Raw genomic sequence first — 16349 nt, forward strand, 5'->3', positions numbered from 1 at the left:
CAACTGAAGGATGCTTTCTCACACAGGTTCCTCACCTTCTCTGAAAGCAACCCCCATTTAGTGAGTGGTTAATCAATGTGGTGATCCAAAGTCCAGCCCCCTAACCTCAATTTGGGAAATATTTGAAGGCTTAGTTCAGCTCATGTGTCAGTGGGAGAACGGTTTGAGCCCTTGTTGAGACTCTGTGGAAATACAAGTTCTCCCTCTGCTTACCCTGTTTGCTTCACCTTCCAATAAGCCACCTGCACACACGTCTTTAACTTGGATTCCATTTCCTGGGGATGGGGAGTTTGACCTACACAGGGAAGTAGAACTGTTACTGACTGCCACGTGCACAATGATGAAGGAAGCATTCTGTATGTTCTCATCACTGACAAAACTAGGGAAGTAATATTGGCAAGAGCAACATTCACTACAAATTTTGGTGCTTTATAGTAAGGTCCAACCTCCTCATTTTGCCTAAGAGAAAACAGAAACCCAGAAGAGGAAAACACTTTTTAAGCTCACCAACTAAATCAGAGAAAAAAACTAGAACCAAAGAACCAGTTTATTTGACATTGGAAAAATTATCTCTGTACTTTTTCCCTTGAGTAGCAGTTCTTAAATCCAACTCTGCATCAGAATCATAGACCAGACTTTTTGTTTAGTTTTGTTTTTATGGTTTTGTTTTAATAAAGATTCCCAGACCCACCCCAAACTTTCTAAATCAGAATCTTTCGTGGGAACTTCCATTAAAATCTATATTTTTAAAAGCTGCACAAACAATTCTGATGATCAGATCACTTTGGAAAATGTGACTTAGGGAGTCTATACAAAGGAGTAGTACTAGTCTGCTCAGGCTGCCATAAAAGAGTATCATAAATGGGGTGGCTGAAACAACAGAAATTCAGTGCCTCACAGTTCTGAAGGCTGAAGTCCTAGATCAAGGTGTTAGCATGGTTGGTTGTCCTTGAGGGCTGTGAGGAAGGATCGGTTCCATGCCTTTTCCCTGGCCTCTGGTGGTCTGCATGTATATCTGGGTCCAAATTTCCCCTTTTTATAAGGATAGTGATTATATTTTATTAGAGGCTCCCTCTAGTCCATGAAGTATACTTTCATCTTAACTAATTACATCTGCAACCACCCTGTTTCCAAATGAGATTACATTCTAAGGTATTGTAGGTTAGGATTCAACATATGAATTTTGGGGACACAATTCAACCTATTTCAGGAGCCTATAATGTATAATTATTGTCCAATTTGATCTTTAAAAAAAAAAAGAAAGAAACGGGAAAAAACCTAAGTAGGTAAGCTGAGGAAGAGGGAACTGTGGAGAAAAGGATTTTCTTGACTGCACTTGGCCTCTGCTTTGAAGCTGTAGCATATCAGTATTAGGATATGGGTAGGAAGGCTGTGCTCTGTCTTACATTTGCTGGTTTTAGTTCTGCCTTCTCACAACTTAGCAGGTGCACTTCACTCCTCTTCATTATTGTGTCCCTCTCCATTGTTATGGTCAATGCCATCAAATAGGTCCTCATTGTTAAATTAGGCTCCCAAAGGCAAAGATCTTTTTACTTGGATCACTTATATTATGCTAACAACTTTAACATTCTTTAATTTTGCAATGTAATTATTATTTTTATTATTATTTTGCTTTCCATTTGAGCTTTCCACAACTAACATAAGCTAGCATTTACTGATGGTCCAGTATTTAAAAGGTGCTGCACCAAATAGTACAAAAATATGATATAATATTTAATCTTTATCTAATTGCAATGATTTTACTAACTAAAGCAAAGGCTTAGGACCAATAAATAAGTGTTCAGTCACAGAATTGATATAAGTGATTATTAAGGTCACACACCAGTACTTTAAATAGCTCTTGGATTTTTTTTTTCTCTCCTAGTTTTCTAGACTGTTGTTTTGAATGTCACATCAGATAAGATAAATTTTCATTGCCTCCTGGATATGGTCTAATAAAAGGGTATGGTATCATTTTTGGAACATAATCAATACACTGACATTTTCCAAGAGTGATGTTTCATAGAGATTTAAGACCTAAATAAACAAACAAAACCTAACATGTGGTAGCACCTCTATAATTTAAGAATACTTTTTCTAAAGTCTCCCCGAAGAGTTAATTTTAATTAGTGGCATACTAGAAAGTTAAGGACTATTGAAAACCTTTCTAAGACTTGTGTGAAAGAAAGACTGTGGCTTATTTTCTCAGTCCTTGGAGACAAATAGCCAAATTTGTTTTAAAAAAGGTTAAACTAAAGGAGAATTTAAAAAACAAGTTTTGTTTGTTCTATTAATAGTAAGTTCCTTATGGAAATTTTGCATTCTTCAAACAGACAGAAGTCAGATTGACAAACATCACTGTAGACTTCCTAAAAAATACATTTTCAACATTTTATTTTAACATTGCAATAAATCTTTCCCATCCTGCTGATGAAAGGTAAAGCAATCTCTTTTGGGATTTGTCTGTTGGGTCTTCAACTTGAACAGTTCAGCTTGCCTATTGACTCTCAGTGCAGAGCTTGTTTTGTTACCTAATTCTTCAGAATTAGGGTGAGAGGTAAGAATTAGTGGTGAGAGGTAAGAAGTCAAGCCTAATTATGTTTTCCAACAGCCAGAGTCACCCACCTCCTGGGACCCCTTCTTAAATGGAACTTAGGGGTAGGAGGAATAACAAGGTTCAGGAACCAATACAACCACCATTCAGTTTCTAATTTTATCACCATCCCATCCCTTCTCAACACATTCCTATTCTTCATCCGTAAAAATCCAGTGCATGGAATCCTATGATCAAAGGCAAAAAAAGATAATGAAACTAAGTAGTACATTTTGTTCTCATTCTTTACTTGGCAAGACAACTTGATGTATGCTTGTATCAGAGGATGCAAAGTAAACTTCCTTCACCTACTCAGGTTTTTGGGGGAGAGAGACGTTTTTGTCACTGCACAGTACAATTGTTGGGCTTCTGTTTCACATTTACAAATTTCCCCAGGGTGTGAATCCCCAGGGGTGTCAGAGGAGCTGACACGCTTGTCTGCAGAATCAGTTGGCTTTTAAGTAATTTCACCTGGTGCCTTGAAAAATCCTTCCAGAAGTCGTCTGTATCCATTTAGTGAGTTCTGCTCATGGTTATTCGGTGTGGATGCAGATTATGCAGGAAACTGAAGTAGTAGGTGACGAACTGTATATTCCCATCACATGTAGATATGTGACATAAGCTAAGAAGTATTTAGGGAAAACTGACAAAATTGAAGGACTACATAAGCGTTTAAGCTCTAATCGAGCAGCCAATGATATTACGAGAATGGAAGCTGACAGAGCAACTTTTCTGGCAGGAAATTTCACAGCTTCCTTTAAATTTATTCCAGAAATTATAGGACCCTTCTCCCTCAGCCAAGATTACACTAGGGACCCAAAGAAGCCTTGCTTCTTCACCAGTCTCATCTCCTGGGAGCTCTCAGATCACAGAATTACAGGGTGACACTTACTAGACCAAGGGTCTTCTGGCTGTTGGGCTGTGGACTTGGCATCTTCATCAATGGTAGCAAAGGCTTTCTGGGTCTGGCTTGTGGATATCCCTGTGAGCTAGACAACTGAACATTTCTACAAAAAATAAAGAAGAGAGTAGTATGTTAATATCTTTGAATGAAACTCTCACAAGCACTGCTGAAATGGAAGTCAAAGTTATACTAAAGTCACTGTGTATAGAAACCATATCACCAGGAGAAGCAGGTTGGGAATTTGTGGGCAAAAAGTAAACAGACAGGAAAGCTCCTGCTTTCCAGAGCCTTCTCTGAATAAGTAGGTAGCTGTACTATTCCTTTGGCAAATAGGTGAATTAACTAAGTAAAAATCAATCAATCAAATGACTAATACAATGAGGTAAATTACTGTTATTCTTTAAAAATGATATAAAAGAATATTCCATGTAACTAAAACATATTTTTATTCTGCACTAAATTTATCTTTATAGATAAATGTAACTGTAACTTACATGTTTTTATTCTGCACTGAATTTATCTTTATTTCTTGTATTGACTTTTTCTTCAGTTTATTATATAGATCAAATATCCTCTCTGGGCCCAGCCACTTTTTAGTATCTTATTGATATCCCTTACTGACACACAGAAGTGATAAAGGTAGTTTGAAAATAAAAAGCCCACCTTGTGTCTCTTTTTTGTTTTTTTTGAGATGGGCTCACTCTGTCATCCAGACTGGAGTGCAATGGTACAATCACGGCTCACTGCAACCTCTGCCTCCCAGGTTCGAATGATTCTTGTGCCCCAGCTTCCAAGTAGCTGTGATTACAGGCGTGTGCCACCATGCCCAGTTACTTTTTGTATTTTTATTAGAGATGGGGTTTCATCACATTGGCCAGGCTGGTCTCGAACTCCTGACCTCAAGTGATCCGCCCACCTCATCCTCCCAAAGTACTGGGATTACAGGCATGAGCCACCATGCCCAGCACCAGTTTGTATCTTAAGCAAGGTCTTCAATCCTGTTAGTCAATATTCTCTCCCCCAAGTTGGAAAAAGAAATACATAGAAAACTGGGTTTATGGCTCTGAATTTTGGTAGGATAGCAATGAGAGTGCATATTCTCTTTTGAATCCACACTGGTTACAATAACTTCTGAAAACATTCAGACATTAAACAGGGAAAAGGCAACCTGGTTTTTCACCCTTAGCACTTTAGATGCAGAATTCAGTATCTCTGAAGTCAAGTAACATTTTTCCATGATTCCCTGTGGTCTTAAATGTTTGAGACAGTCTTTTGATAACCAGAGGCAAAACCCAAGGAATCTAAGCAGGGCAGAGCTGCCCCACAATACTGACAGTAGCGGCACTGATTTTCCAGGAACACTTCCATACCATATTACAGCTTTAATATTGGGAGGCCTCCTTGAGTGGTTATTTTATTTCACTTAAACATTCAAATATGCTGGTCACTTCCATTCAATTTTATGTAGCTATTGGCTAGACATTTACTAAATATCACAAATGGGATAGGAACTGTGATAGGTGTCTGAGAAGCTGAGATAAAAGGTTCAGTTCTGTTTTCAAAAACCTCAGAATCTAGAGGAGAAAGGAAAATAACCTAACGATTAGAAAATGACAAGTGCTATAGTGAAGTTACTACAGGGTGCTTAACAGAGGCACACCTACCCCATACTGAGGAGGAGGATTGATGAAAGACTTAGCCATGACTAAGCCTTGGAGCATGCACAGGAAGTAGTCTTGAGAAGAAGGAATATAAGCATTCCAGTCACAGAGATCAACAAGAAAAAGGTGGAGACACGTGTAGAGTTTTGTATATTGGGAATCTGCAAGTGTATTTATATAATTAAACGATATGGAATGGAGGCATGGATGGAGCAGCAAATAATCCTGGAGAAATGGGCAAGGATCAGATGATGGTCAGATAACTTCAAGGTCAAGAAACTCATAGTTTAGTGTAGGTGATGGGGAACTAAGAATATTTTTTATAAAGACAGTGAAATTATATTGACAGACGTGCATTTTAAGTGACTCAAGCTATGGCAGTGGGCGAAAGAATCTTGATGGACAAGACAGTTTTGAGGACAATGGGGAGTTGATGAGCTAAAGAAGTTACTGTGTAAGTTTAGCAGAGAGGACAATCATATGTGAGAAAGAATTGAGGGAACATTTCCTGGTATCTTTCACTAAGATACTTAAGGAAGAGAGGAGGTAAGACAGGTTTAAGATGGTGAATCTCTTGAGAAGATTGTAATTTCTGCATCAGACATGTTAAACTGGAGATGCTACTTTAGTAGAGGTTTCCAGTAGATTAAAAAAATCCTATTCTCAGTGGAGATATCAGAGTAGGATTTTGATTAAATTAAGTGATTAGAAGAAGAAACTGAGAACAATGTCAGAGACATAAGAGGAAATCAGGGAGGTTTTGGGGTCCTTGGAAGATGTGGTCAGCTATAACTAATGCATAATTGAAGCAAGAGAATTAGTCAGATGAAAGAGGAGGGCTGGTCATACTCTTCAACTCTCATTTCATAAAACAAATTGCCAAAAAACAATAGGAAGTATATAATTAAAAGGAAAATGTGACCACAGATCACAAAGTTTTGAGAACTTTTTGGTGATATAAGTAATTGGAATAATATCAATAAATGATTAAAAGTAATCACATCCCACGTATATCACAATGTCCAATTGGAGATTTTCATGAGACTTTGATAAGCTAATTCAAAGATTAAATTGAAGACAAAAATTAAAGTAACCAAGAAATACTGGAAAATAATAGTAGTATAGACAAACAGGACCTACCAGTTATCAAAATTACCAAGATAAATTATTAAGATATAAAATTAATGCAGTATTAATACAGACATAGACAAGTCGTTAGAACAAAAGAATGGAGAGTCTAAAAACAGACCTATGAAATATGCTCATTTTTATAACAAAGATAGTACTAAAATCATTAAGCAATTATAAACAATTCAATAAAGGGCTTAGGACATTGTCTTTCCATTAGGAGAAAAATAATAGAACCCTGATTAGCAATACATGCACACACACACACACATATTCATGTATATATATGCATATACTTATATATAATGAAAAGTAATGTCCTTATAGCAGAACAAACTATAAAGTAATATTTTATGACCTTCAGAAGCAAGTTACATAGTGTTAATATCATAAAAGCATTGACAGATTATATAAAATTTTTTAAAAACATGTTCAACACAATATACCATTAAAATTATTTAAAATCAACATAATGGCAGAGAAATTTGAAATACATAAAGGATTAAATTCCTTTAAGCCAAAAATCTCCTAGAAACCAATATGATAGGCAAACCATGCTATAATATATTAACAAAGATTATAAAGGAGAAAGCAACAGTATCACATGGCCAGTGAATATATGGAAAAGTGATTGACTTCACTGATAATCAGTGAAATAAGATATTTTGCACAATGAGATAGTCAATACCAAAGAAATGTAGCCCAGATGTAAGATTCCAGATGTGAATTCTCATTTACTGTTACTGTTTTGTTTTTTTGGGTTTTTTTGTTTTTTTGGTTTTTTTTGAGACGGAGCCTCGCTCTGTCACCCAGGCTGGAGTGCAGTGGCAGGATCTCGGCTAACTGCAAGCTCCGCCTCCCGGGTTCATACCATTCTCCTGCCTCAGCCTCTGAATAGCTGGGACTACAGGCACCCACCACCATGCCCAGCTAATTTTTGTATTTTTTTTAGTAGAGACAGGGTTTCACCATGTTAGCCAGGATGGTCTCGATCTCCTGATCTTGTGAGCCGCCCGCCTCAGCCTCCCAAAGTTCTGGGATTACAGGTGTGAGCCTCCGCACCCAGCCTCTCATTTACTGTTGATGAGAAAAGATGAATGATTTTGGTAATGACTTGGAAATATTTATAAATTTTTAAGTGCATTTGCCTATGACTCATCACCCCGATTAAGAATAGTCATTGAAATATTGTTTAAAACCAAAAGTGTTAATACCATAAACGTTCATCATCAGCAAAGAGGCTACATATATACATCATGGGGCATCCACAGCATAGCCATTAAATAGAATGAAGTAGGCCCACCCACACTGATGTGCCACCAGGGAAAGACCTATGGGATATATTAAGTGATTAAAGAGCAAGGAATGAAAAGCAGTTTAATCCACCTATATCACGTATATACACATATAAATGCATAGCAAAAGGAATAGGAAGATACACACTCAGCGACTGGCAGTTTTTAACTGGGAGATGGCAAGAAAATGAAGGGAGAACAACCCTGAATTATGCAGCATTTATGTAATTTTTTACATATCACCATATAAAAACATCAATTATATTTGGCAAACTGATCATTGGATTTTAGTTTCGTTCTCAGAAGCTCACTTGTGGTAGTTTGAAGAATGCAGAAGCAACTAATTGGAGAAAATGAATGGAGACACTCTCTCAAGAAGTTGATCTCTAAAGGCAATAGTGACCAACAAGGACAGCAATTAGTAGATAGCATTGCTTTTTTAAAGCAAATCATTATAAGTTTGATGTGTGTTTGTTTAGCTTGGGTTTTAAGCTGAAAATGTAAGTATTCAATAAATGTTTATTATTACATACTGTGACTTAAACAATGCAAAAATTTTTCTTATTAAAACAAATGAAAACCAAGCATCGGAAAATAGAACTGCAGAAGTGAGATGAGGGGGTGGTGTCCTTTCTCATTCCACTGCATCCAGCTCCCCAGAACAACAGATTTCTACACAAAGTAACTTTAACGCCTGACTTTTAAATGTCTCATGTTTTTCTGACAGGCATTATCAACCTTTGCTTTTAATTTTTTTTTTAATGGAGTCTCTCTCTGTCACCCAGGCTGGAGTGCAGTGGCATGATTTTGGCTCACTGCAACATTGCAACCCCCGCCTCCCAGGTTCAAGTGATTCTCCTGCCTCAGCCTCCTGAGTAGCTGGAATTACAGGTGAATGCCACCACACCCGGCTAATTTTTGTATTTTTAGTAGAGACGGGGTGTCACCATGTTGTTCAGGCTGGTCTCGAACTCCTGACCTCATGATCCGCCCACCTCGGACTCCCAAAGTGCTGGGATTACAGGTGTGAGCCACCGCACCCGGCCGCTTTTAATTCTTACAGTAGTTAAAATGTCTGTATCTCAACTTCCTTTTCTCTGAGATTAAACATTTTAACAGCAATGATTTCCCCATGAAGAGTGGGAAGGATGGCCTAGTATAAAAGATGTTACTCTATTGAATGAACAGTTCCTGGAATCCCCTGAGATAAACATGTTGAGAAGTATATTATGTTTATGAAATTCTCTCTAGATCCCTGATTACGCTCTTCCCTGCCCACAGGTGTTTCTTGATATTTGATGTGAGCATTCAGAAGAAAAAGTAATTAAATAATTAGACTACATAAAATTAAACTTATTTGGAAGAAGAGTAATCTAGTTTGGGCTGAATTTTTTGTTTTCTTTTTTTGTTTTAATCCGGTTACTGGGAGACAAAACTGTTGTGGAATATAAACCAAAAGATAAGCCCATATTTTCAAATGAACAAAATTAGAATTCAAATACCAACTGTAGAGAGATATGAATGAGCCAAAGATTTGTATTTTGAGTTGAGGACTTAATATCATTAGTTTGTGAATATGTTTTCCGATCTATTATGCATTGTTTATGACTTCAATACTTGTTAGGGGCATATGTTATTCAAAGGCACTAACTGATAACAACGTAATAGACTGAAGGTAACTAGGTACATTTTCTCTTTCTATCCATTGAGATTTCTTTTTGCCACATGAAGTAGCAGAGATATTAACCACAGATATATAGGTAATGGACTATGCAGAATAGTATGGCCATGTTTTCCCTGTTATTCTCTATGGCATATTTTACTAATCTACATTTGTTCAGCTTTTACTGTTTGCAGGGCTGGGAAAGTCAAAGCTCCACACTTAGAAGTGAAAACAGTAATGCTGATTTTTTTCTCCCCTTGGGAATAACCCTCTGGCCTCCAGGCAGTTCTTTTAAAAATAGCTTCTGTCTGCCTTGTGTCATTATTATCACATATACAATCCCCACCCTGACTGTCCAGAACTGAAATCCGTCTTCTGTATTCAAGAGCAGTTCATCTGTGCACGAGTTGCTTTTATGTAAGTCACTGTGGCATATGTCAGCTTGAGTTGTTGGTGTTTCCATAAAGTATTTGCTTTGCATCCCTATTACATAGGATGAAAAAGCGGGTAATAAAAAGTATCACTGTGCTGCACTATCTTACCTCTACGTAGAACCTATCATCCTAGGTGCTTTTGCCAGCCAAAATAAAAACCAGAAGGAAGGGAATTTTATTCACCTGTGACATATGAATCTCTCATGCAGTCTTTCTATCTATTGTGTTTAAGATGATCCATTGTTTGGTCAAGGAAAATAAAGAGTAGCATCTGAAAACATGGGCTTTCTACTAAAAAGGAAGAAATGGTTACATAAAAGTGGACATGTGTAAAAGAAGCCAATACACTTTCTGGAATAGCACAATAAGGCATACACACACATATTCACACACATATAAAATATATATAACATAGATACATATATACACATTCATATTCACACACATATAAAATATATATAACATATATACACATATACACACATATTTACACACATATAAAATATGACATATAGACATACATATACACACATATTCACACACATATAAAAATATGTGTAACATGTATACATATATACCTATATTCACACACATATTCACACACATATAAAAATATATATAACATATCTACACATATATTCACACACATAAAAATATATATAACATATATACACATATATACACACACATGCATAATTTCTTAATATGTTATTGTTTCTGTGAGCCTATAGATTTTTTTTTCCCCCAAAGCAATACTGACTCTAGAACAGAAACAGAAAATGAAGTTCACTTCTTTTCTAACAAATTTATATAAGGAAGATGAAAAGCATTTTAAATTATATATAAAGATATAGTCAATTGTTTAAACTATTATAAATTTGACTTCTTGGGTCACAGTGGTTTTTAGCCAATAAAATTAAATCAGAAACTTAATAAAAAAGACTAAAGAACTTAATTTTTTCTTTAAGTGTTGGATCTAAACAAACTATAAAAAGGTCCTTAATGATTCTTGAAGCAGCAAGGTTTACATTATCTGTGTTCCCTGTAACTCACAAAATGATTGTGGTTACAGGGGCTGTGATTTTTTTCTAAGCCAGTAGCTTCCCTATTGCCAGCAGGACACACACCATGCCATTGAAGAAAGTAAATGATGTCAACAAAAGTCTTGAGTTGCGCTTTAGATTCATGGAGTACTGGGTACCTTGACGGCATCATTATTTCACTAAAAACTCTCTTTCTTAGATTGAGGATCATTCATGGCCATGATGAGAACTTCTACCATTGTCATTCATCGATTTATTCCCTCGTGATGTTATTTTTCATCGAGTGTCTGCAAGCCATGTCCTAGCTAAGTCAAAGTGAAGGAAAAGGACATTGCAAAAGTAAAGAATAATAATAGCAGCGTACAGCAGACAAAAGAAAGCCAGGCCATGATGCCCAACTTATGTGGAGGGAAGAGCAAATCTTTTCATCACACTGTATTGCCTCTCAGACAACTTCTTCAATATCTTAGGATGTTTTTCAAGCAAGAGGACCAGAATTCTAGATTTCTTTTACCGTTTCAGTCTATCTTGGACTTTAATGTTCCATTTTTGTGTTCATTTTATTCATTCTGGTTTCATCGTTCTATTTTGAGCTGGTCTCCCCCTTCTTTTTATTATTAATATACAAATTTTTTTGGACCCTACTTTGTGTCAATGGTAGAGACACAATGCAGAAAGACAGTCCCTACATACAAGTTATTTCTAGTTTAATAGAGGAGGCAGGTATGAATCACATACAGTTGCCTCTTGAATAAAGCAGGGATTCAGGGTGCTGACTCCAATGCAGTTGAAAATCTGCAAATAAATTTTGACTCCCCAGAAGTTAACTACTAATGATCTACTTGACTGAAAGCCTTTTTTTTTTTTTTTTTGAGACAGAGTCTCGCTCTGTCACCCAGGCTCGAGTGCAATGGCGCAATCTCGGCTCACTGCAACTTCCACCTCCCAGGTTCAAGCAATTCTCTTGCCACATCCTCCAGAGGAGCTGTGATTACAGGTGCACACCACCACACCCACCTAATTTTTTTGTATTTTTAGTAGAGACAGGGTTTCATCATGTTGACCAGGCTGGTCTCAAACTCCTGACCACAGGTGATCCGCCCGCCTCGGCCTCCCAAAGTGCTGAGATTACAGGCGTGAGCCACCACACCCAGCCTGAAAGTCTTAAAGAAAACATAAACAGTTAATTCACACATATGTTGTATGTTATATGTGTTACATACTGTATTCTTACAAGAAAGCTAGGGAAAAGAAAATGTTAATAAAATCATAAGGAAAATAAATATATTTAATATTAAATGGAGGTGGATCATCATAAAGTTCTTCATCCTCATCATCTTTATACTGAGTAGGCTGAGAAGGAGGAAGAGGAGGGGTTGTCTTTGTGGTGGCAGAGACAGAAGAGATGGAGAAGGCAGAAGAGAGATACAAGGATTAGGCACATTTGGAGTGACTTTTATTGAAAAATATCCATGTATAAGTGGACCCATGAAGTTCAAACCTGTATTGTTCAAGGGTCAACTATACTTATAAAAATTTATAATTACAAACTACTATAAGTCGTATGAGGAAAAGTCACAAAGCAACAAGATTAAATATCAGAAGTAACTCATTCTAGGTGAAGCAAGTAATTTTTCTTTCTTTTTTTTTTTTTTTTTTTTGAGAACGAGTCTTGCTCTGTCACCCAGGCTGGAGTGCAGTGGCGCGATCTTGGCTCACTGCAACCTTCACCTCCCGCGCTCAAGCGATTCTCATGCCTCGGCCTCCCAAGTAGCTGCGAGTACAGGTGTGAGCTACCATGCCCAGATAATTTTTGTCTTTTTAGTAAAGACGGGGTCTCACCATGTTGGCCAGGCTGCTCTCAAACTCCTGACCTCAAGTGATCCGCCCGCCTCAGCCTCCCAAAGTGCTGGGAGGACAGGCCTGAGCCACCAAGCCTGGCCGCAAGTGACTTTTAAGTTGAGATTTAACCATTTAGAGTTGACTAGAAAATGAGGAGGAGAAAACATTATGGGTAAAGAGAACATTTTTGCTAAGGCTCAAACTTTAGGGGCAGTATGTTGCATTCAGGAAATAAAGAAAGCCAGTGAAGCTGGAGACCAGATAGGAAAGATCAGGGAAAAAGTTGATGCTTAAAAGTTAGGCAGGAGTTAGAGCAAATAGGGCATTGAGTCCATGAATGAATTTGGTCTTTTTTCTAGGAGGGATGAAAAGGTTATTAAGCATGAATGGATTTGTTATTTCCTAACTTTACCCTTTGCCTGTTTGAGTAACGAATCTATTACTTCCTCAAATTCATTCATGCTCTGCACCTGAATTAATAAAACCATTTCTCCTTTCTTTTGGGTTGTGAGTGTCACATCAATCTGTTTTTAGGTATACTAATAACTTGTCTTATGGCTTTTCTTTGCTGGGAGGTTTTTGTTTACTGATTCAATCTCATTTGCTATTGGTCTGTTTAGATTTTCTGTTTCTTCATGATTCAGTCTTGGTAGGTTGTATGTTTCCAGGAATTTATCAATTTCTTCTAAGCTATCCAATTTGTTGGCATATAATTGTTCATAATAGTCTCTTGTTAACCTTTTATCTAAAAAAATCTCTGAGGCATCTCCTCTTTCATTTCATTTTATTTACTTAAGTGTTTTCTTATTTTTTTTCTTAAAAAAGGTTTGTTGAGTGTGTTTATCTTTACAAAAAAACAACTCTTAGGTTTTCTTAATTTTTCTTATTTTTATTCCCTATTTATTTCTGCTTCAATTTTTATTATTTCCTTCCTTGTGCTAACTTTGGGTTTAGTTTGTTCTTATGTTTCTTGTTCCTTGTGGTTTAAAATTAGGTTCCTCATTTGAGATCTGTCTTCTTTTTTGATGTATGTATTTACCACTATAAACTTCCCTCTTAGAACTTCTTTGCAGCACCTCGTAAGTTTTTTACATGTTGTGTCTCTATTTTTATTTGCTTTGAGGGTTTTTAAAATCTTTTTTATTTCTTCTTTGACTGGTTGTTCCATCATGCGTTGTTTAATTTCCACTTATCTGTGAATTTTCCAATTTTCTTTCTGTAACTGACTTCTAGTTTCATAAAATTATAGGAAAAGATACTTGATATCATTTCCATCATTTTAAGTTAATTGACACTTGCTTTGTCGTCCAACGTATGATCTATCCTGCAGAATGCTCCTTATGCATTTGAGAAGAACCTGTATTCTGCTGCTGTTTGATGGAATGTCCCATATATGTCTGTTAGATCTATTTGGTATATAGTGTTATTCAAGTCTGTGGTTTTCTTATTGATTTTCTGTCTGGATGATCTATCCACTGTTGAAAGTGGGGTACTGAAATCCCCAGCTGTTAATATATTGCTGTCAATTTCCTCCTTCAGATCTGTTAATATTTGCTTTTTATATCTAGGTGATCTGATGATGGATGCACATATATTTACAACTGTTATATCCTCTTAAAGAATTGACTCATTTATCATTCTATAATGATCTTCCTTGTCGCTTGTGACAGTTTTTAACTTAAAGTCCATTTTGTCTAAGTAGAGCCACTACTGATCTCTTTTGTATTCTATTGGCATGGAATATCTTTATCCATTCCTTCACTTTCAGCCTATGAATATCCTTAAACTAAAGTGAATCTCCTATAGATGGGCATCATATTGTTGGATCTTGTTTTGTTTTGTTTACCCATTTGGCCAGTCTATGCCTTTTGATAGGAGAATTCAGTCCACTTACATTTAAAGAGATTGTCGATAGGTAAAATGTACTATAGCCATTTTCTTGATTGTTTCCTGATGTTGTTTGGTCCTTTGTTCCTTTCCTCTTCTCTTCATGTCTTTCTTAGTGATTTGATGATTTTTACTTTTGTAGTAGTATTCTTTGATTGCTTTCCCTTTATCTTTTGCATATCTAGTAGAAGCCTGGAGCTTCTCTTGGGGTAGTAAGTTAGGGCAATCATTAAGCTCACCCTATTTAGTTCCCCTTTCTTAACGATCACCACCCAGCATCTTCTGATGTCCAATGTCTGAAAATCACAATTTAATATATTTTGTCTGGTATTTTAGCTGTTTCATGTCAGATGATAAATTATCTAGACCCTCTTTCTCTAACTTGGCCAGAAGTGGAAGTCATCTTTATTGCTGTTTCTAAGTGTTACTATTAACATATGCAAACCTATCTATTTCTGATACATTAAAAAATCTTGATTTTTTTATGATTGCTTGATCCCCCAAACTGGGATCTTACTTAAAATCCATCAAATCAAAATCAAATTTCTAAGAATAACAGGTTAAAATCAGGGTTTTTATGAAGATGTTGGTTATATACTTTTTATGACTTACATCGATATCAATATTAAAGTTGTTTGCACAAATTAAGAACAGAAGAATGAATACTAAAAATCCATCTAACTTATTTATCTTCATTAATACAGAAAATCTTGCATAAAATTTCTAAGTGTTAGGTAGTAATGCTCCAGACATAAGACTTTCATTACTTTGACTTTTCCTCAGTATTACGTCTGGGCTTTACTGAAGTGAACTGATTTGGTTTCTTTTAATTCAGTGTATAATAACTTTGTCTACTTGGTCAAATAATCTATCCTTCCCCATACTCAATATCATAATATCTATCACAATTTCATTTAAGGGTTTAAAACAAAGCTTACAGGCCACATTAATTCACAGAGCATCATGAAAGAATATCTTAAGGAAAACTAAAAAGAAAAAAAAAAAGGAGTACCTACTGCCTACTTCCAAGCATTATGCTTGGAGTACTGGCACACTGAATATATTTGGGCAACCAACAACTTTCCTGAAACATGTTGCTCGCATAAGATCTAAAAATATTCTGGTGACAAGTTCAAGTCATTTTATCCCCAAATCTATATTATTGAAAGTATTGATGTCCTCATTACTTCATTTAAACAATGTGGAACTTAGCAATAAATTAGAAGGCATGTATAGTCATTTTTATAGCGTTTCTCAAAAAGCATTACGAGTTTCAAGTATATTTTCTTTCAAATAATCTTGAGAACTATTGGGTCATATCATCACCTTGAATTGCTGTACAGTCTGCAGTGTCTCCTACCCATCTAAGTGATGATTTATTTCAAGTTTTACTCCATCTGAAGCCAAGATTCAAATGTATAATTCAGTTCAGCAAATGTATATTGAACAAATATTTGCTTAGTGCTTGGAATATAGAAATTAATAAGTCCAGTCTCTATTACTGAAGAACCTACTTTCAAAAAGTTGAGACAGGTACAGAAGCAGATAATGTCAGTGTAATATATTTTTTCCTATGAGAGAGGTAAGCAAATGGTGTTCCAGGAGCCCAGAGATAAGGCTGTATGTAAGTTATATTATAAATGGCAAGTAGAAAAGTATTTGATGAAGAGGATGTAGGTGCTTGAGATTTGATGTCTGTTAAAGCACACTTCTTAATGAGAATGTAGGATTATCCAAACATTACATTAAAAAAAAAACATAGTATTATAGCAGTTTGGTTTCACAGCATGTACAGGGCAAGTTAAGAAGTAGCATTAGATTCTCAGGAGAGATAGATAAGGGCTTTGCAATACTGCTATGTTGTAGAAGAAAAAGATCTAAAATTTTAGCATATGTTAT

At 36.1% G+C, this 16349-nt stretch overlaps 1 long non-coding RNA gene across 5 annotated transcripts in view; it reads right to left on the minus strand.

Annotated features, from left to right (window-relative positions):
- Nucleotides 1–16349, minus strand: part of LINC02663 (long intergenic non-protein coding RNA 2663) — a 434814-nt gene that overhangs the window by 343908 nt on the left and 74557 nt on the right. For 4 of the 5 annotated variants that reach the window (XR_930643.2, XR_930644.2, XR_930645.3 and 1 more), the window contains exon 2: nucleotides 3486–3600. This is a non-coding gene — a long non-coding RNA (long intergenic non-protein coding RNA 2663). Of the gene's footprint in view, nucleotides 1–213; nucleotides 296–3485; nucleotides 3601–16349 lie in introns of those variants that run through there. The other variant, XR_001747363.1, reaches the window with a different exon arrangement.

This window comes from Homo sapiens, chromosome 10 (assembly GCF_000001405.40).
Source record: "Homo sapiens chromosome 10, GRCh38.p14 Primary Assembly".
Classification (NCBI taxonomy): Eukaryota; Metazoa; Chordata; class Mammalia; order Primates; family Hominidae; genus Homo; species Homo sapiens.